Source organism: Homo sapiens, chromosome 7, assembly GCF_000001405.40.
Source record: "Homo sapiens chromosome 7, GRCh38.p14 Primary Assembly".
NCBI classification, from domain to species: domain Eukaryota; kingdom Metazoa; phylum Chordata; class Mammalia; order Primates; family Hominidae; genus Homo; species Homo sapiens.
The window spans coordinates 141,145,452-141,168,015 of NC_000007.14; the positions used below are offsets into that span (position 1 = coordinate 141,145,452).

Consider the following 22,564-nt stretch of genomic DNA (forward strand, 5'->3'; position numbering starts at 1 on the left):
CTATTTTAAGAGGGCTCCTTCTTTCTAGGAACAGAAAGATGGCCTTTGTTTATTTCCTGTCTCCTATAAAAGAAGCTTCCAAACCTGCCAGCATCATGGCTCAGTGTATTCACCCCTGAGCCAGGCATCTTGCTGGAAAACACAAAGTGTCTCTTTTACTCTTTAATTCAGTGGCTCTCACACATGAACGTGTACAAGAATATCACCAGCAGAGTTCAGGGCCCCTTCCTGGGAAAGTCTGATTCCGTAGATCTGAAGTAGATAGTTTTAGGCCCCCTTAATGCTGATGCAGCTGTTGAGAACTGAATTGCCTTCAGGGGCTGGGGGTGGCCATCTGCAATTGCAAGAGCTGCTACGTGCTGAGCTGCTTGTCTTGTGGCCTAAATTAGGGCTCCTGCCCAGTTACTAAGCCTTTTAAAATACTTTGCTGGCCAAACACTATACATGCCAGAGGGCTGTAGTTTGCAATTGTTCATCTAATGCTTCTGGAAAGCATTAGGTTCAGGGAGCTGAAGGGTAACTATTTGTTGGAGTAACAAGGGGAAGGGATTTCTTATTTGTTGAGTGCTTACTATATGCTGAGCACTGTGTTCAATACTTTTATATCCTCTATCCATTTAATCCTAATAAAGCTCGGCAAAGTAGGTGTTAATACCCTCACTTACAGATGAGGAAACTGACACTCAAGAGAGGTGAAGTAACTTGCTAAGGTTTCCACAAGTGGGTGGCAGAGCTAGGATTTGGGTGTAGAGCCAGGATTTGAGTACAGAGTTAGGATTGGGTGCAAGTCCACTTGACTTTAAGGCTGGTGTCCATCCCCAGAGGGCCTGTTACTTCCTTCTATTCCATGCTGCTTTCCTGGAGGAAGAAGACATCCAATCCCCAACTTCAGGATGTGAGTGCCTAGTGGCCTGCGAATTACTCTTGGGCAGGGTCTTGTATTGCAAGGTGGATAACAGCACAGACCCTGGACTCTGATAGCCTGGGTAGGAATCCAAGTTCTGCCACTTTTTAGCTAAGTGATGTTGGATATATTACCTAACTTTCCTGCACCTTGTTACATCATGTATATACAGAGTGTAATTATAGTATCTATCATGAGATTACTATGAGGATTAAAAGAGTTAGTACAAGCACAACACTTAGTGTCTGCTATATAACAACCACTATCATTGGCTGCTATTACTATTATTATCAGTACTACTAAGGATCTTCATAGCCTTATTGTGTAGCAGCATGGCGTTTGGCCTGTCACTGGGGCTTAGTGAATGTTGGTGAATGAATATATCCCAGTTAGCTCTTCCATGGTCATTCTTCCTTTCTCCCATTTACCCATAATCCTTCTACCATCCTTTCCCACCCCTTCTCCTGCTCCCTAAGCCGCAGAAGCATGGAGGTTTGTATCTTCAGGCTGTGTCTGCGCATGAGGATTTTAAGGTTAGTTATGGGAAGGCGCTTGCAGCTGGATCACCATCTGTCTGTGTCTTCTGTATCTGTGTATTTCTATGGGTGGACATATCTATAAGAGAATGACTATTACATGCATTTGCATCTTGGAGCATGATTTTGCATTTTTGGTTGTGTCTTTAGTAATGAGAATGTATAAGAGTGGATATCTACATGTGCAGGTGTCTTATATGGAGGGGTGCTGCTACTCCCCTTGAATTGGAAATTAGTCAAATGAGGGTTTTGGAGAAGCATAGTGAGTGAAGGAAAGATTGGTAGTAAAACCAACCTTTCTTCTTTCCTCCCCTTCCCTCCCTCCGTCCCTCCTTCCCTTTCTCCTTCCCTTTCTCCTTCCCTCCCTCCTGTGTTCTAATAGAGGAGTGCATTTGGGGTAGTGGAAGCAGGGGCTGTGGTGCAGAGGAGGTGAGGCTGGGTGGTGGTGAGGCTGGGTGGTAGGGGTGGGAGGCAGGCAAGGAGAGCCTTGTAAGCCGTGTTTAGCAACTTGACTTTTATCTCAGAGGAATCTATGAAAGGAGGGATGTGTTAAGATTTTTGCATTTTAAAAAGAAAAATGCCACATGGAGGATGGACTCCAGGAGTTCAAGGATGGAGGCTGGTGGCCAGAGGGAAGGCTATTGTGGAAATCAAGGCAAGCGATGAAGAGGGTTGTGATGGAAGCAATGGAGAGGAGGGGTGAGCATATGCAATCTAAAGAGCAGGACTTGGAGATTAATTGCACATTGGGGAGAAGGAAAGGAAGTCCCTAAGGAGCCCCACGTGGGAGAATGGGCACACCACGCTGCCATCAGCTGAGACAGAGAACACAGCGAGAGAGACAGGTTGTGGGGGAGTGGGAGAGGGATTGAGCTGAGGATGTATTGAGTTTGGGGTACCCACAGGACATCCAGTTAAAGATGTTAAGCTGTTGGATGTAGAAGTCTGAACTTTAGAGAGAAATATCCACTTATAGATGGCAATTGAAGCTAGGGATGAAGATAAAGTTGCCCAAAGAGAACATGTACAGGGGAGAAGAAGAGAACAGCGTTAGGTTTCTGTGCTGCTGTAACAAACTGCCACAAACCTAGTGGCTTAAAACAGCACAAATTTATTATCTTATAGTACCAGATATCCAAAGGCTGAAATGGGTCCTAGGGGGCTAAAATCAGGGTGCGAGCAGAGCTGTGTCCCTTCTGGAGGCTCTAGGGGAGAGCCCATTCCCTGCCTTTTTCAGCTTCCAGAGGCTGCCCACATTCCTTGGCTCATGGCCCCATATCACTCCAACCACTGTTTCTATTGTCCATCATCTTCTCCAACTTTAACCTTCTTGCCTCTCTTTTACAAGGACCTTTGAGATTACATTGGGCCTACCTAGATAATTCAGGATTATTTCCTCATCACAGACCCTCAGCCATGCAAGGTAACATACTCACAGGTTCCAGCGATTAGGATGTGAACATCTTTAGAGGAGCATTATTCTGTCTACCACAAGGACCTAAAACAGAACCCCAAGGTTTACAGACATTAAAGGCACAGACAGAGGAAGAAGAGTGTGCAAAGTAGGCAGGGAAGTTATAGTTAGAGGAGCCAGGAAACCATGGCCTGGAGATTGGTCAGGGATGGGAGGAGATGGTCAAGAATTTCAAGAAGAGGGAGTGATTGTTCCTGTCAAATGCGATAGGTTCTGCAGGACAAAGATTGAAAAATGCCTATTGGACTTGAAAATCAAGAAGCAGTTTATTTATTCAACAAATATTTATTGAGCATTTATTGTGTGCCAGGCACTATTCTTGGTGCAGAGAATAGAGCAGTGATGGAGGTACAGTCCCTGCTCATATCCTACTGAGGGTGACGGGCAATCAATCAGTCACATGGTTCTAAGTGCCATGTAAGGAATCGAATTAAGAAAGGTGTGAGAAGATCTCTGGGAAGATTTCTGAAGACGTGATGTCTAAGCCTGTGGCTGAATGACAAGAAGAGTGGGTCATTTGAATCTTGGGGGTGGCATCCCAGGCACAGGGAACTACTAGTGAAAAGGCCCTCACTTGGGTGGTCCTTAGCTTGTCAGAGATGGAGAGGAGCTCTATGTGGCTGTGGCATGAAGATGAAGTGGAGGGCAGTAGGGAGTTAGGTTGGGAGAGGCTGTGAGGATCATGGCTTTGGGCTTTGAATGCCAGGTAAGGAGTTCAGATTTTGTGCTAAGGTTTTGTTGTAGGAGGGGTCAAGAGTGGAACAGGGAGACTAGTAAAAGAGAAGACTGCAGTAAGAGATGATGTTGGGTTGGACTAGATTTCAGTAGATGTTATCCTCCAAAAATATATGTTGAAGCCCTGACCCCTGGCACCTGTGAATGTGACCTTATTTAGAAATAGGGCCTTTAGGCCAGGTGCAGTGGCTCAGGCCTGTAATCTTAGCACTTTGGAAGGCCAAGGTGGGTGGATTGCTTGAGCTCAGGAGTTCAAGCTCATGGGAAAACCCCATCTCTACTAAAAAAAATACAAAAATTAGTGGAGCATGGTGGTGTACGCTTGTAATTCCAGCTACTCAGGAGGCTGAGGCAGAAGAATTGTTTGAACACTTGAGGTGGAGGTTGCAGTGAGCCGAGATCGTGCCACTGCACTCCAGCCTGGGTAACAACAACAACAGCAACAACAACAACAACAACAACAGGTCCTTTACAGATGTAAGTTAAGATGAGGTCATACTGGATTAGCATGGGCCTAACGTAATGTGATTTGTGTCCTTATAAGCAGAGGGAAATTTGGACTCAGATACAGAGACCCCTGGGGAGAACGCCTTATGATGACTGAGGCAGAGAAGGGAGCGATGCAACTGCAAGCTAAGAGCCACCAAGGCCACCACCAGAAGCTGGGAAGAGACAAGGAAGGGTTCCGCCCTGCGGGTTATGGAGAGAACATGGCTCTGCCAACGTCTCGATTTTGTCCTTCTGGCTCTAGAACTATGTGACAATACATTTCTGTTGTTTTTAGCTGCCTGGTTTGTGGTAGTTTGTTATGACAACCCTAGAAACTGATGCAGCAGTGGAGATGGGGAGAGGTGGCCTGGGGGTAGAGCTGACAGGATTTGTTGATGGGTGGAAAGTGGGAGGTGAAGGAAAGAGAGCAACTGAGGACAAACTACATTTGTGGCCTGAGCACTCGAGTGGCTGAGGAGTCTCTTTAGCGGGGTTGGAAAGACTATGGATGGAGCAGATTTGGGGAGGAAAATCAAGAGTTGAATATGTGAGTCAGAAGCTGAGCCAGAGGTATAAATTTGAGGGTCATTAGCATATAGATGGCATTGAAATAATGACAGTAAATGAAGTCACCCAGGGAGAGGAAGTTTCAGACAACCCTGAACGGCCTTGAAACATCCTAGTTTGGAAAAAAGTATTTTCCAATGTCGGATATTCTTGACTTTTTGTAGGTCCAAGTCAGGATGCAATTTTTCCCCCACAGCTACATGGGCTCAGTTATATGTATGTTTCTTTTACTTTAACTGGGTTGAAAACTGGACCAAAATATTTTGAAGCTCTTTCTATCAGTGGGTAGAGTCTGTTCTTTCCTCCGAAGTCCTCCCCAACAAAGAAACAGTTGTACTGGTCTTGGGACTTCCCTTGACCCATGAAAGTGGCAGAAGGGACGTTGAGCTAGTTTCAAGCCCAGGCTCCAGAGGTCTTTCAGCTTCTGCCTTTGGCTTCTTGGCTCACCCCTGCTGTCATGGAATGAAGCCTGGGCTGGACTTCTCTAGGATGAGAGAGAGGTCCAGCTGACAGCTGGGGCTGAGGCCATTTTGGGCCAGTCATTTCAGCTGCTGTCTGACTGCAACCAAATGAGTGAGTCCAAGTGAGACCAGCAGAACTGCCTAGTCAGCCGACAAGACTGGAAGAAATAAATAGATTGTGGTTGTTTTAAGTCACATACTTTTGGGGTGGTTGATTACACAAAGGGATACACTTGGTGTAGACCTTGTATCCAGATAAGCAGGATAATATGGAAGAAAAGAGCTATACTGTTCAGGGTCATGGAAATAAATCAGGATTTAATCTAGATGCATGATTAAATGAAAATCCAAAAGGTCACGAAATAATACATCATTCATGAAATGATAAAATACAGAAGGTACATCTCAGAGACCAAATGTCATTCATTTAATTATTCCTTCAACAAATATTTAAGGGTCTGCTCTCTACAATATGCCTGGCAGGGTGGTAGATGAAGGACACAGAGGAAAATGGGACGAACACTCAAAATACTGTCACTGACTCTCCCCTTGGCGTTTATTGTTGAGTGTACAGCATCCCTGTGTGCTAGAAATGGCCGTGGAGATAGAAAATGTGGTTAACAATAATAATGGCTGCCATTGATTGACCTCTCACCAGGTCTCATGTACTTTATATTCATTATCTTATTTAGACCTCACCACAACCCTGTGTGGTGGGGATTATTCTTCTTCATTCCACAGCTAAAGAAACTGGGTCTTGTAAAGGATAAGTGGCTTGGCCAGGATTACACAGCTGGAAAGGGGTGGATGAGGCACCAGCTGAGTCTGACTCTCAAGTTTATATTCTTTCCACCAGGTTGCCTATTTTCCATGAGTCCCTCACCTGACTCTAAGGCAGGGGCTAGGTCCAGATTGTAGGATGGGCTCGGTGGATCCTGTGGTCAGACGGAGTCCCTGACTGGGCTGGCAATTAGCATCGGGAGGATTGATGGTGAAAGTCCCTGTGGAGATATAGTTCTCTCTCTGCACAAGGAGAATCAGGACCTCAGTGGGAGGGGAAGGCCATGTGAACCCACGCCATCATGATTTTAATCTGTGTGATCTTGAAAGACACCCCTCCTTCCTGCCAAATAGGTCTTAACAGGCAGGGCTACTCTAGGACATTGTCTCATTGTACCAGATTCAAGACTCAGCCACATGTAGGGGGTGTGAGTCAGCTACAGGGGGGGTGCCCCTCACCTCTCAGGTCCCTTCTGGCCACACTGTGTCCTGTGGGCTCCACAGCATGGATGCTGCAGCCAGGATTCACGGGTGCAGCCTGACACGTGACGTCACAGCCATTGGACAGTGTGCTACAGTGGGGGCAGTAAGCTAAGATCCACAGAGGACTTCCCTGTCTCTGTGACTCGTAGGGAGAGAGGGGGCTCAGTGGCCAGTGAGTTGCCCTATGCTGAGAGGCATGGCACTGTGCAGGATTGGAGGAAGCCTGTGGCAGCTGCCTCCCTGGAGCACATGTGGATAAAAAACTCCCAAGCCAGGAGACCAAAGTCAGCATTCAGGATGGGATGCAGGCTGACTGAGCCCCACACTAGGAGGCTGGGAAAGACTCTTGGCCCTGGGAACAGGCATAGAGCGCTCTTGCAGCAGCCGGGCTTTTCGGCCTCCAGCCCAGCGTGGGTTGCTCTCTGCAGGGAGGCCCTTCTTGGTGGCTCAGGACTGGTGGGCACCGTCTCTGGGAGGAAGGGCCTCAGAGTTCTGAAATGTCATGCTGGTGTGGCTTCCAGACTTCACAAAATTGGGGTCACCTCAAAGACAGTGATCACCTCTTTTTGCTTCCTGATGCTCATTTATAGACTCCAGGTTTCTGCGAGTCCTGGAACTTGAGGGCAGAGTGTGACCCTCTGTCACTTCTACATCAAGAGACCAAGCTTTGTCCTGACTGGGATACTTAGGAGGGTTTTGAAGTTAAAGTTTTTTTCTGAGATAGCATTGTGGACTCAGGAGCAAGAACATTAGCAGGGAATTGGGAGGTGGAAAGTGGGCTCTCTCGTCCAGTGGTTCAGTGGGGGGCCTCCAACCCGAGGGGCTGCTTCTCCCCTTGGACACAGCTGGCCTTTCCACTGGACAGGCAGTTAGGTAGACTCTATTAGACCCCCGTGGAGGCCAAGGCCAAATCTCAAAATACGTTCATTTCTCTTTTTAAATAATAGTTACTATTCATTTTCTCTAATAGCAGTAGCTAACATTTACTAGACATTTACTATGTGCCAGGAATTGTGCTAAGCACTTCACAGAGATTATTTTATTTAATTCTAGGAGATAGTACCAGAATCCTTTTTTCAACAGATGGTGAAAAGGAGGTGCAGAGAAAGTAGATATTTTGTCTTAAGTCACATGGCTGATAAATCGTGGAACCAAAAATTAAACCAAGGCCTGAACACTTAACTGTTCTTCTTTCAGATGAAAGACACATGCTTTCGGTGAAAATTTGCAAAACATAAAAAAGCCAGATTGTCTATAGTTTCTCTATTCACAGATAGCAACTGTTAATATTTTTTCCATGTACCCACATGTGTATTTTTTTTAAACAAATGGATTTGTGAAAGTGCTGATTTATAGACTGCTTTCCCCCATCTCTGCAATATATTTTGAACATTTTCCAACGTTGAAGATTTTTTCAACACCTCGATTTTTAGTGGCTGCAAAGTATTTCATTATCTCAGAATCCATAATTTACTTTTAAAAATCTCTCCCTTTTGTTGGAACTTTAGTTTGCTTATAAATTTTGTTGTTATAAATAATGCCATGGTAAGCAACTTTGTTCAGGCATCTTTGCAAATAGACTGCTTGAGGATAAATTCTATTAGTGCTATTTCTGCATCAAAAGGCATGTACATTTAAAAGCTTTTGGTATTATTGCAAAAACGTTTTCCTGAAGATTTACACTAATTTACTTTCCCACTAGCAGAGTATGATAATATTCATTCTTCACAACTCTGCTGACAGTGAGTATTTCATTATTTTTAAACTTTGTAAATTTTCTCATGTGAAAAATACCTTTTTAAATGACAATGGACACTTTTTATATGTATTGGTCACTTGTTTTTCTGTGAATTGCCTTTATTTTATTAGAATGTTTATCTTTTTCATATTGATTTGGATGAGCTCTTTATATAAGACATAAGCATTTTGTCCTATGTTACAGATATTTTTCCATTTATCATGTACTTTCATTTTTATCATATCTTTAACATACAGAAGTTTTAAATTTCTAGGTAATCAAATCTACCAATCTTTGGCCTTATTGTTTTTACTTTTGGTTCTATGCAGGGTGATATAGACACCTTCATTTAAAAAAATCAATTCTTTTACTCATTTTGAAGTCTTGATGAATATTTATTCAGTGCTGTTCTGTACCTGACACTTTCTAGGCATTGGGGCTACATAAGCAAGGTGGGCAACTTTCCCATTTCTATTTACTTTTGCTAACCATCTGAGATTTATTTTTAAATGCGGTCAGCTGGGGGCTGATTGAATGCCTCTGCAGTGGCTCTGTCTTCCATAGGTGGAAAAGATAAAGAGGAAAATTCTTTAGACAAGGCCAGAATTTGAAGGCTTGGGCCAGAATGGCTTTCTGCCTAAAGGAAACATGTATTACCAAGAGATCAGACAGTAAAATTGCAAAGCCCTTGCCTCAGGCCAGCCCATGCCACATGGGTCGCTGAGGTCCTCATTGCTGGAACTGGTCCTCGAGGGCAGGTGTGGGCCCTCATCTAGGACAGACCGAGGCTCTGCTATAGACTGGTTGGTGTCTTTGTGCAGTTAGTTCTGCAGAGGTGGCTTGGTATGGATGGGAAAACTTGACCCACTGAAGGTCATGTGGCTCCCCTAAACTGATCACACAGTAGTGTCCTTTGTCAGAATCTTGCTTTTCTGGGTCAGGGCAGCTGTTCCTGCACATGTGTTTTCCAGTAAACATTGGATCCTTTCTCCATGGAAAGGCGATGGGCCTGGATCCACGGTGGCCCTTGGATACTTATAGTTCTGTTTCTTCATGAGTTAGCTGGAGCCCTGGAGCTCTTAGTCCCTGGGATGCAGCTGTTAACTTGTTAACTTTTTTTTTTTTTTTTGAGGCAGAGTCTTGCTCTGTTGCCCAGGCTGGAGTGCAATGGTGCAATCTTGGCCCACTGCAACCTCCACTCCCCAGGTTCAAACGATTCTCCTGCCTTAGCCTCCCAAGTAGCTGGGACCACAGGCGCACACCACCATATCTAATTATTGTATTTTTAGTAGAGATGGTGGGGATCTCACCATATTGGCCAGGCTGGCCTTGAACTGCTGACCTCAAGTGATCCACCTGCCTCAGCCTCCCAAAGTGCTAGGATTACAGGTGTGAGCCACTGCACCTCGCCCAGCTGTTGATTTTTTCAGCTCAGGTTAGGAAAGGAGAAAACAGGTTGGTTTTCTTGCTGTTGCCCAAACTTGGCCAATCTGTGGAGGACTCATAGGACACAGTGTTAGGCGGGTCCAGGGCTGAAAACAGGGGACAGGTGTGGGCAGCAAGAATCAGGATACTGTGATTTTAGGCAGAAGATTTAGACAGAGAAGTAGTTTGTAGAGATCACATTAGGCACATGTGAGTCGGGTACTCATCATACAGGGATGCAGCCCATGGGGCTCTTGCTGCCAAGGATCTGGGTAGGAGCTCTTTTTTCCTTGCTAATTCTGTTTTTCCCTCTCTGAGTATCCCTGTCTGTGGGGATGGCTCTTCTTAATTTTAGGGCAGGCCATGACTCCCTGATGGGGGCATAGCACCCCATGGTCTAAATACACCCACCATGATTTCAAGCTCTCAGCAGTTTAACAGCTGGCACACAAAATGAAGCTTTTGGTTCTGAGCTGTTGGCACAGGCTGGCTCCAGCACATCATCAGCAGTGCCCTCACCCTTCCAGTGGTGCTTGGCTTCCACGTCTGATGGAAGGGGTATGTGTGCTCAGCCATCCTGGGGTCAGGCTAGCATCTGAGGTGCCAGTAGCCCTGGCAACCTGCTGGCTCTTCAAGGAGGTCTCAGTTTCTTCCCAGGCAGGGCCATTTTCTTTTGTTATTCAATCTCTGCCCAGACTTGGGGCATGAGTCCTGGCATCAGGCATCTTAACAAATAAGGGGTCGGGCGTGGTGGCTCACATCTGTAATCCTAGCACTTTGGGAAGCTGAGGCGGGTGGATCACCTGAGGTCAGGAATTCGAGACCAGCCTGGCCAAGATGGTGAAAACCCGTTGTTACTAAAAATAGAAAAAATAGCTGGGCATGGTGGTGGGCACCTGTAATCTCAACTACTTGAGAGGCTGAGGCAGGAGAATCGCTTGAACCCAGGAGGCGGAGGCTGCAGTGAGCCGAGATCGTACCACTGCACTCCAGCCTGGGCGATAGGGTGAGACTCCATCTCAAACAACCAAAAAAACCCCAAAACAAATATGGAGTGACCCATTTTCAGTGACTCCCTTAGACACTTGAGCTTATTTTGTATTTCTAGCATGATTCTGCAAATCTCACTCATAGTACTGATTGCTCTGCCAATAACCAGCTCTGTAACTGGGGGAAGATCAATTACCTTCCTTGTGCCTCAGTGTCCTTCTGTGTAAAATGATGGCTTTGGAACTGGATCTCTGAGGTCTTTTCCAGCCCTACTATGCCATGATTATAAGAATTTTTAAATGACAGCAGTATTTATAGGCAATGATATTACTAAGGCAGTGTTGAGGCTGACTTGAAATCTGTGTGAAGCAGAGAACATGCAAAGTCCCTTGGGAAAAAAGCGGTTATTTTTGAGTACCATAGAGCCTAGTAATAAAACACAGATTCAAAAATGAAAAACGTCAGCCACATTTCTTAGGTACAAAAGATGGACACCTTGAAAGATGATGGGGTTAATGGATTCAGCTCTGATGCTCCCAGTGACTTCAGCAGAAGAAGAAAGGGCCTCCTGGGAAATCAACAGGAACTTGTTTAGACGGATCAACTCTAAATTATGGAGGGATTATCCAGGTTAAATCTTGCTTTCATGCTTTTTGACTGCATCTATTCTGCGTAATTACTTACTTGGTTGGCATCTCAGATTTCCTCTCTTTTCTTGCAGCCTGCAGGGAATTCCTTTGATGAGATAGGGTGGGATGGTGAAAAAGCTGTGGATTAGAAATCAGGAGACCCAATTTCTAACTGGTTGTAAGGCTCTAGCAGATCATTTCTCCAGCCTGGGTTTCAGATGCATCTGTTGATAAATGAGGGATTTGGGGTAGGTCAGTGGTTTGTAACCAGGGGATGTTTCAGAATGCTGCTGATCTAAGCTGGGCTGGCCTCCCAGCTATAGTTGGGGCTCAGGTCTTCTCCACCCAGCTCCCAGCTTTCAGTTTTCTGGGGCCAGCAGACGACCCTGAGTATATCCTTCTCTTAGCAGTGGTGAAAGTGGAAACACGCAGTACTTCTGGAGGCCTGGGGGAGCTGAGGCTCACTGTCCCTTCTGCCCTCTTCCCACTGGCCAAGACAAGTCACATCGCCAATCTGGACAGACCTGGGACGGGGATGGATGCTCTGCCTCTCTTGGTGCAAACTACCAAGTCTCATGGTGATTTTGAGGACAGGAAAGGGTGAAGAATTGGGACAGTTGGTGCAGTCTACTGGAGAGGACCACACCCTTCCTCCTCTCATGCTGGAGTCCTAGGAGAGGAGCTTCCTCATTTTATAGAACAGCTTTAAGGCAAGAAGCATAGCAAAGCAAAACAGATCCTCTCTTTCCTACTCCTGCGCGCGTGCACACACACACACACGCACACACACACGCACACCAGCCAACCAACAAGCAAACAAATGAAACTCAAAGCACCCAGGGACAATAACAGAACAACAACAACAACAACAACAACACGGAGAGAGGAGGTCTGGGTCCAAGAGAGTAACAGCTGCTTCCTCATCTCTCTCAGCAGCCCGACCCCAGGTCCTGTCGCTGGCAGTCTTACTCAAAAAAACTTTTAGTTGTAACTAAGCCCAACTTGCACATCTGTGAAATGGGGATGATAACCCCAATCTCACTCCTCGCAGGTGACTGTGAGTTCCGAGCGAGGTAACAGTGATGACGCTTCCGGCGTGATGCCTGGCACATCATGGTGATAAGATGTTAGTTTCTCCTTCTTGCTCCTCTCTGAGATCCTCATTTCCTCACAGCTGAGTGTCATCTTAGCCTCCTGGAGGCCCTTCCACCCTGCTTCCTGTGTCCTGCTCACTGGCTCTACTGTTCCCCGCCTCTGTGCCTCTAATGAACCACTCTCCCCTGCCTGGTGCATCTTTTCCTCTCCTCTCTGCCCAAATTGGGTTTTTCCTTGTAGGCCAGCACGAGTCCCACTCTCTTTTGCTAACAGACATCAGTCTGCAACAGTCTCTTTCTCTTTACCATGTGGTATTTAAGCTTGTGTGGCCTCAGATTGCCAATTTTTTGTTTTTTGAGATGGAGTCTCACTCTGTTGCCCAGGCTGGAGTGCAGTGGCGCAATCTCGGCTCACTGCAGCCTCCATCTCCCGGGTTCAAGCGATTCTCTTGCCTCAGCCCCCCAAGTAGACAGGATTACAGCCATGCACCACCATGCCCGGCTAATTTTTGTATTTTTAATAGAGACAGGGTTTCGTCATGTTGGTCAGGCTGCTCTCGAACTCCTGACCTCAAGTGATCCACTTGCCTCAGCCTCCCAAAATGCTGGGATTACAGGCATGAGCCACCATGCTTGGCCCCTCAGGTTGCCAATTGATGTCTGTCCTGAAAGTTCTTCAAGAGCAAGATCCGTGTCTGATCAATGTCTGTATCCCTTATATCCGGATGTTGCTAAGAACACAATAGGTGCTTAGTAAATATTTGTTGAATGTTTAAAGACCAATCTCAGCCTCCCCAAAGCCATCCTTTATCTATAAATGTGGCAAGGACAAGAAGACCAGCAGGAAGAACAAGACTCCCAGGGACTTGAGAAGAGGCCGAACCTGTGGACAGGGTCACTCTCTGCCTGGAGCCCAGCTGGGGATGCCTAGATCTCACGCTGTCCTCTGAGCACTGGGATCTGCTGACAAGTGTGGATGGCTGATTGGCCAATTCTCAGGCCTCTGCTTGGAGATGCGGTCTGACTTCCTGCCAGCCTGCATGCCGAAAGAACAAGCCTGCATGCTTCAGTAATGTCTTGGTCCTGTGGGTGACCTCTTGATGAGTCACTTTCTGTTCTTGAGGAGGCAGACAGGGAGCCTGAGAGAATGAAGGTTAAATGGAAATTTAGGATTGTAAAAAAATTAGAGATGGAGAGGACAAGGGAAATGAGGAAGAGGTTGGGCAGGGCTTTGATACCTTTTGTGAACTATTTAAAGATATTTATATCCCTTGCTTTTCTCTGATTTTGTGAATGATGTCACCATGCATCCAGGGACTCAGCCATCTTCAGCGGCCCCTTCCCAACCTCTCCTGCCTGCACCCCTGTTCTATCCCCATCTGATGGTTGCTTACATCTCCTCATCTCCTCTTTCTTCCCTCTTCTCTTTCCAGGGCCTCATGATGACCTTCTAGCTGCAGTAGTCTCCCTGCAGTCACTCTTGCTCCCACAATCTATCCTATGTGTTACCAAGCCAGAGGGATGGTTTAAAAATCCAAATAAAATCATGTTACTCACCTGCTCAAAACTGTCAAATGACCTCCAGTTTCACTTAGTTTAAAATCCCAGCTCCTCGCTCTGGAAAACAGTATGGTAGCTCCCCCAAAAATTAAATATAGAACTACTGTATGATCCAGCAATTCTACTTCTGGGCATACACCCCCCAGAATTGAAAGCAGGGTCTTGAAGAGATGTTTGTACACCCATGTTCATAAATGCATTATTCACAGTAGCCAAAAGGCGGAAGCAACCCACGTGTTCACCGACAGACAAATGGATAAACAAAATGTGGCATATTCATAGAGTGGAATATTATTCCATCTCAGAAACGAGGGAAATTCTGACGCACGCTACAACACGGATGAACCTGGAGGACATCATGCCAAGCGAAGTAAGCCAGACACAGTAAGACAAATACTGTAGGATTTCACTTATATGAGATAGAATATTCTTTCTACTTAGAATGGACAAATTCATAGAGACAGAAGGTAGAAGGGTGGTCGTCAGGGGGTTGGGGGATGGAGGAATGGGGAGTTGTTTAATGGGTGTGAAATTTCAGTTTGCATAATGAAAATAATCCTGGAGTTTGGCTGTGCAACAACATGAATGAACTGAACACTACCGAGCTGTTAAAATGGCTAAGGTGGTGAATTTTAAAAAAATTGTTCAATAATGGGGAAGCATTGTTTATTTTATATATATATATAATTTTAATATATAATATATATAATTTAGATATGTAATATATAATCAATATATAATATATATATATAATTTCAATTGTTTTTGGGGAAGAGGTGGTGTTTGGTTACGCGGATGTTATTTAGTGGTGATTTCTGAAATTTTGCTGCACCCATCACCCGAGCAGTGTACGCTGTACCCAATGTGTTGCCTTTTATCCCTCACCCCACTCCCACCCCTTTCCCTGAGTCCTCAAAGGCCACTGTATCCTTCTTATGTGAGGTGATGAATTTCAAGCTGTCTATATCTTACCTTCTAACTCACCAGCCTCCCATGCTGGGCCCTGGTACACAGTGATACCCCGGCACCAGCTTCACTTCTCCTTGAAGGCTCCGAGCTCACTGGCTTTTGCTGTCCCACTGGCCTGAGCATCTCCTCCCAGAAGAGACTTGGTTTGGCAGGTCACTGCCTCCTCCTTGCCCCTCCTTCCCTCTGCCACATCCCCACCTATCTTGGCCTTGCTAGTGTCGTCATTCTCTAGGATGGATCACGTTGCTCTCTGCCTCCCTAACCTGCTGTCTGACTGTGCCTTGGTGGCCAGAAGAGTGCTTGCCACATGACACATGCTCCATAACTGCTTGTTAAGTGGTGTTTTCTGAGGCCTGTGTTTGAGTGACTATTGAGAGCGGGCACATGGGGCATATGTTCTGCACCGTTTTCCTTATGGTGGGTCTGAGTCACCTGGAACCAGCCATGATCTCTGGTACACTGAGCTTGTGCTCAGTGATGGGAACTGGTCGGATGTGGGATTAACACAATTAATTGGCCTGCATAGAGATTCAATTATTAACCTTAAATTCAACACATTTTTATTGGATTTCTTTTTCTTTGTTTTTTTGAGACGGAGTTTTGCTCTTGTTGCCCAGGACGGAGTGCAATAGTGCGATCTTGGCTCACTGCAACTTCCACCTCCCAGGTTCAAGTGATTCTTCTGCCTCAGCCTCCTGAGTAGCTGGGATTACAGGCATGCACCACCATGCCTGGCTAATTTTGTATTTTTAGTAGAGATGGGGTTTCACCACGTTGGTCAGGCTGGTCTTGAACTCCTGACCTCGTGATCCGCCCACCTTGGCCTCCCAAAGTGCTGGGATTACAGGCACGAACCACTGCGCCCGGCCTGGATTTCTTTTATGCTCAAAGCATGAAGGAAGGGGAAGAGAGATGTAAGGATGAATGGGACACAGGACCTGTCTCGAAGAGCTTCTGTCTGACAAGATTGGGATGAGAGTGGCCAGGGCTATGGTGGATGACGAGGTGGTGAGTGGTCTGAGGGAGCCACAGAGGGAGGGGATTTTACTCTGAGCCACGGGGCTGCAGAAAGGCTCGACGGGAAGGCTCTGCTGGAGGTGAGCTGGGAAAGGCAGAGGATTCTAATAAGTGGGAGGAGGCCTAGACGGTGACCCAGGAGCGAAGCCAGAGCCTTTGTGGGTCTGTTGTGTGGCCATTATTCTGTCATGCTGGGAGAATCAATGGCTTCTTAGCAGAAGAGTGACGAGATCAAAGCTGAGTTTTATGAAGGTCATTTGTGACCATGCGCAGGAAGGCCTGGGTGGGTTGAGGGACTGGCAGCAGTGGTCCCCCAGATCCAGAGGCTCTTCCAGGGGAACAGGTGGGAGGCAGTGCGGGCCTGGGCGTGGGTGCCTGGGAAGAGGGTGAGAGACACTTCTGAGGTGGGCTGGACAGAACTTGACAACTGTGTGTGTGTCTGTATAGGTGAGAGAGTGGGTGGTGTGTGTGACAGTGTGTGTGTTTGTGTGTGAAGAGTGTGTATGAGAGTTTGTGAGGGTGGTGAGTGTGTGAGAGAAGCAGAGTGTGTGGCATGTGAGTGTGCAGCTGTGTGGTATATGAGTGCAGCAGTGTGGTCTGAGTGTGCAAGAGCATGTGAGAATGTGTGTGTTTGTGTGAGGATTTGTGAGAGAGCATGAGAGTGTGTGTGTCTGTGTGCACTTGCAGGCAGAAAGGGAGGCATCCTTCCCAGCGCTGAGCAGCCAGCACTCCCTTGCCAGGAGCTAATTTTCCAGATGCCCCACAGTCAGGTGCCAATAACCGCCTTTCTCCACCTGCAGGGCTTGGCCAGCTCCCCTAGGATTCCCCGTTTCCCCACAGGAACTGCAGAGAAGCCTAGAACAAAACAAGAAGCCATCTCTGATTTGGAGGCTGACGCGTGACGCCTTGCGCCCTGCAGCTCCTGCTGGCTGTTGTCCTGCTCTTTCTCTCCAGCCACTTGCCTCTCACCTTGTTCCGCTCATGTTTTACATCCCTCAGCTGTCCCTGGGCTCTGTGGCCTGACCGTCCTTTGACCCCCTGTCTGCTCATTGCTGGCATGCGATACACCCTGGGCTTTGCTGGTTCCGGATGCTGCCCACACCCAGGGCTGACACCTGAACAATGTTTACATAGAGCAAGTTGAAGCTTAATAAGTAATTGTGGAATGTTTGAAAAATAAGCAAAATGGGCCCAACTAAATACATTTGCCTTTTAGCACTACTGCCTATGGGAATAAAAGCAATATTCATCCCATTATAGGATGTTGACATCTAATTTAGTTTCTTACCAATGCATAGTTAGGAAAGAATCTCAGTCCCATGGTACCAACACTAGCATTTTATTTCATTAATCAAAATAGGCATGTTGGATTGAATTTAGGCACAGCAAAAGATGGGGTCTGGTATAAATGGTTTTTAAATCATGATTTCAAGAGGTGGTATTGTGTAGATAACTCAGCATTTGAATGTGCTTTTATGGGAGTGAAGAATAAAGCTCCAGAGAGTGTGTAGGCAGATTTCCTGATCCATTTGTGGGCAAAGGATTGATTGTGCATGTGGTGCCAAGCGTGCATGTGGATCCCTCACTTCACTAGCAAACCAGATCCATTTCCTGTAGAACGTTTTATGGCATATGCATATAGCCAGTGCTTGCCAAAAATAGATTCCCTTCAAAGTTGAGGTTTTAAAGCAGTGTATCAGCTAGCTTTTGCTGTGTAACAACCAACCACAAAGCCTCCGTGGCTTACAATGAACATTATTTCTCCAGTGTCTTCAGGGTGCAATAGATCTGTTCTGTTCTCTGCTGTATGGTTCTGCTTCTTGGCTGGACTCATTCATGCATCTCTAGGTTGATGAGAGCCTGCCTGAGGTGCCTTAGCTAGGGCGGTTCTTCATGTACTTATCCCCCTACCAGAACCAGCAAGCTAGCCAAAGCATGTAATTCTCATGATAATGGTGGAAGCCGCACAAGTATGGAAATATGTAGGCCTTCTGGAAGCCTAGGCTTGGAACTGGCATACTGTCACTCTCACCATATGATATTGACCAAAACAAGTTATGTGGCTGAGCTCAGATTCAGGGGGCAGGGATAACGACTCTACTTCATTGGTGAGAGAAACTGTGATGTTTCATAGCAAAGAGAAGGGTGAAGAATTGGGATCATTAATGCAGTCTACCACAGATTGGTATTCTCTATTTAGCAAACAGCAATTTTTTTTTTTTTTTTTTGAGACGGTGTCTTGTTCTGTGGCCCAGGCTGGTGTGCAGTGGTGCAATCCTGGCTCACTGCAACCTCTGCCTTTCAGGTTCAAGGTGGTTCCTCATGCCTCAGTCTGCCGAGTAGCTGGGATTACAGGTGAGCGCCATCAAGCCTGGCTAATTTTTGTATTTTTAGTAGAGGTGGGGTTTCACCATGTGGCCAGGCTGGCTTTGAACTTCTGACCTCAAGTGGTGTGCCTGCCTCAACCTCCCAAAGTGCTGAGATTACAGGGTGAGCCACCATGCCTGGCCAGCAAACAGCATATTTTAAGCAGATTTAGTGAAGAATGCAAAGGTATAGATATTTGAAATAATCATTTATACATAGATAGTGAACACTGAATGATTTTTTTAGTGTTGTGAAATTACTGATTATTAGAATTACAAGGAAACCATGGGAAATCAAATCCCAGCTAATCCTTTAATTTTACAGACTAAGACATTTGTAACTCAGATTGGGGAAGTGACTTTCCCTGGGTTTTTAGGTTATTAGTGACCGTAACTACTGAAACCTTATTTTTTTCTGAATATAATACTCTTTGATAGATACAATAGTACACATTTTCCTTTGTACAACACCCTTTTAATGAAAACCAAGTAAATATAACAAATGCATCATTTTTAATATGTGAGTCTTTGGTTCCTGAAACTCAAAATGTGAAATTCACAAAATTATAATTTGCAGACGTATTGCTGTGGTCAGTAATCTATTCCGAAATGTAAAATTTCAGAATGTTATCATTAGAGTGAGATAGGCGAGTCAGTGTGACAATCAGAAAAAACCTGCATTGCAGTATTTTACCCTGACTTTTATGGGTGCAATTATATTAATGCTGCAATGCTGGTTTTTGGAATTCTCACCAACCAGTGAGACCCAGTGGAGGAAGCTGGACTGGGACAGGACTTGGGTTTCTGTGTTTGCTTTGTTGCCGGTGATGGGACCTGGGCACATGTTTCAGCTCTTTGGTTCTGTTACTCATGTGAAAAATGACAATTTGGACTAGATGGAATTTAAGACCAAGTCCAAGGCTAAGATTCTAATTTTTATATCAGTGATAGAAATTGCACAGGTTTTCATTCTATTGCTGTTATTAACAAGGATTAGGTTTGGCTGCATTTGACAGGAAACCCCCAAATAAGTGGCTTATAGAAGTTACAGGTGATTTCTCTTTTTCATAAGAAAAAGAGGTTTGCAACTAGGAGTTCAGGGCTGATAAGAGGGCAATGAGTGTCGTCATTAGGGATCTAGGCCTCCATCTTTCTGCTCTGTTATCCTCAGGACATGACTTCTATCCTCAAGGTGACTTCAGGGTCACCTCATGGATCAATAGGGCTGCTGGGGTTCCAGCATCACCATCATTTAACAGGTAAGCAATAGGAAGAAATGGGAAGGGTAGCACTTGCCTCTTCCTTTTTGAAAGACATTTTATTTTGAAATAATTTTAGATTAATAGAAAATTTACAAAAATAGTACAGAGAGTTTCCGTGTATCCTTCCTTTAACTTTCCCTAATGTTAACATCTTACAAAACCATGGTACAGCTTTCAAAATGCAGAAATTAACATTGGTACAATATTATCAACCTGATAATATTATTTATTAGAATTTTGCTTATTTTTATACTAATGTCCTTTTTGGCTCCAGGATCCAATCCTGGATCCCACGTTGCATGTAATCATTATATCTTCTTAGTCTCCTTCAACCTGTGATATTTTCTCCATCTTTTCTTGTTTTTCACAATCTTGATAGTTTTTAAGAGTATTGGTCAGGCATTGCATAGAAAGCTCTTCAACTTGAGTTTCTCTGATGTTATCTCACGGAATAGTCTGGGTTATTAGGTTTTGGGGAGAATTTCACAGAAGTGAAGCCCCCTTTCATTGCATCATATCAAAGTCCATGATATCAGCATGCCTTACTACTGGCAATGGTAACCTTGACCACTTGGTTAAGGTGGTGATTGCCAGGTTTCTCCACTGTCTAGTTATTTTATTTCCCTTTCCAGACCCTCTTGGTTAGAAGCAAGTCTCTCAGTTCAGCTCACACTCAAGGAAGGAACATTCAGCTCCACCTCCTGGAACCCCCTCCTTTCAAAGGCATGTTCCTGGAAGTTCAACACAAAACTTCTGCTTTTACAGCTGGAATTTAGTGTAGTGTAATGAGTGGTGAAGAGCTTTGACTGGGGTCAGGCCGCTTGAGTTGAAATCTCAGCTGTGGCACTCATTAACAGTATGAATTGGGAAAATTACTTAACTTCTCTGGGATGTTTGCCCTGTAAAAATGGGATAATCACTGTGTCTCTCATAGGGTTTTTGTGAGATTAAGTGACTTTATGTACAGAAAGGTGCTTAGCATTGTGCACGGCACATAGTGAGGGACTGTCCTTGTTAGCCACGGGCATTGTTACATGGCCCCACTTAGCTATGAGACAGCCGTGGAAATGTAGTCTTTATTTGTTTCTTTCCAGGAAGCGACAAGCCTAGCTAGCTAAAAATTGGGGTGCTGTTCCTGAGGAAGAAAAAGCAGGCTGGATAGTCAAAGACAACCAGCAGCATTTGCCACAATTGCTGTACTCAGACTCTGGGCCAGTAGACCTATAGTAGGTGGGACCCAGATGAAACCTTCTTCCCAATTATGAAGTTCCCCTTGTGCAGGATCCACAGTGCTCTCTAAGGGGCCATTTTGGGCTCTAGGAGAGTGAGAAACACAGACTGCAACCAGACAGGTGCTAAGAGGTCATCAGGAAGTAAGGGTCCTGCTGGATTTATTTGATCATTGGGAACAGTCAACTTTCCTCTGTGTCGGAATCCCAATGGAGGAATCCTTTTGAGTAGTTCACACCAGCGTGAGCTGGTGGAAGCAGCAGTGCATCCATGTTAGTGTTTGATATGTTTGCTTTCCCCAGAACATATTTAGTCTTCATAAAGGGAAGGTAGCTCCTTTGGAAACTGCCATAAGAGATGGGGTGGGCTAGAAAGCTTTGCAAAGATCAGAGCCACCTTCTAGTATCTACTGACAAGAGGGGATAGGAAGAAACATTCCTGGGGATGTGGAGGGCTGCTACCCAGGAGACCCACAGGAACGTCCCAGAACCTGCCCTAACCTTGTCTTTCATGTATCAGGTGCTCCTTTTTAGGACAAAGAGTGGCACCAGGAACCAAGAACTTGATCACTGCCAAGTCTTGCCTTTGGGTTTTTAGTTTTGAAAGATGAATGAGAAAAGACCAAGGACAGCTTCTCCTGCAGATGTGAGCTAAACACTGTGATCATGGCTGGAGTGCAGTGTGCCCTTTCTGGCTATTGCTTTTCCTCCTGAAGTTTGATACCCACAGATTCCTCTTAACAAGCATTCATTCCCCTTTCTTGTCCTTGTATGGGTGACTTGGAACAGACGGTTTCCTCTCAGTCTCATGTTAACTCTGCCAGATTCGTATCTATCACTTAATATTATGTTTGGAAAATGACAATGTTAAAGATCATAGCCAGTAGCTTCTTGTGTGGCCTATAGCTAGTCATTTAACTTCTCTGGGCTCCAGTCTTCTCATCTTTAAAATGAGGGTGTTGACCTATGTGATCTAAGGTCCCTTGCAGCAGAAGCTGCTCTGGGCTCTTTGCTTTGCTCTGAGGACACATGGAACTAGTCTCCTGACACATTATCTAGAGTTGCCCGTGAGTACTACATCTTGTCCTTCAATGCAGGACTTAAGAAATCGCCTCTTCGCCCATGCGTCTGTTACCCCAAATGCCCCTCACTGTCATTTGTCTCTCTGTATGACTGCAAGCAGATCCAATATAGGACACTCTGTCTTGCGTATCTCAGCATCCTGGGGCCCTCAGTAGCAAGTTGGCATGAGGTAGTCACTGTGAGTGTGCGCGAATCGTGTTGCCCTCCTGCCAGTTCGTTGCTCCTCATTCCCATCAGGTTCTATTAGGAATGACAACTCTGAAGTGGATTTGTGCCTTTAATCACGTCACCGTGTACAAAGGGCCTGGATCTATGTCACTGACATCCCTCGCTCTTTTTCGTCCCTTTGATCACAGCCCATGTCTGATGTGCCCTCTCACAAAGGGCTTCCCTTCAATCCCTTAAAATTTTGTCAAATGCTCAGGCCTGTGCTGTCCTCAAATGCATAATTAGTGAATGTAGGGCAGCTCTCTTCCTGATTCTGAGGCTGCTCTACCCTTTTAAGGCCCTGTAAAGGAATGCAGCCCTGGACAGGGCCGGTGTGCCCTGGTGGCTCCTCCCAAGGCCAATTTGCCAGCAATCTGAGAAGCCTACCCGTTGTGCCCCAGGGAAGCAGCTTTTTCCTGCTGCTCTGAACACAGACCAGCATCCCACCTTATATTTGCCCCTACATTTTTGTAAAAATCTCATAATCATTTGGCTTCCTTTCACGCTTTCATGCACTCACTTAGCTCCAACATTTATTGTGAATTTGCTGCAGCCAGACTCTTCTA

General features: G+C 45.6%; 1 protein-coding gene across 4 annotated transcripts in view, besides 1 other annotated feature; it reads left to right on the forward strand.

Annotated features, from left to right (window-relative positions):
• TMEM178B (transmembrane protein 178B) overlaps positions 1 to 22,564 on the forward strand; it is a 437,233-nt gene that overhangs the window by 71,388 nt on the left and 343,281 nt on the right. The gene's annotated exons all lie outside the window — the stretch shown is intronic.
• Positions 12,880 to 14,079: an enhancer, noted in NCBI's record as "BRD4-independent group 4 enhancer chr7:140858131-140859330 (GRCh37/hg19 assembly coordinates)". NCBI's record gives its function as "activates an origin of replication core promoter dependent on BRD2, P300/CBP, MED14 and CDK7 cofactors, and independent of BRD4, by STARR-seq in HCT116 cells {active_cell/tissue: HCT116}" and the evidence as "EXISTENCE:reporter gene assay evidence [ECO:0000049][PMID:35650434]".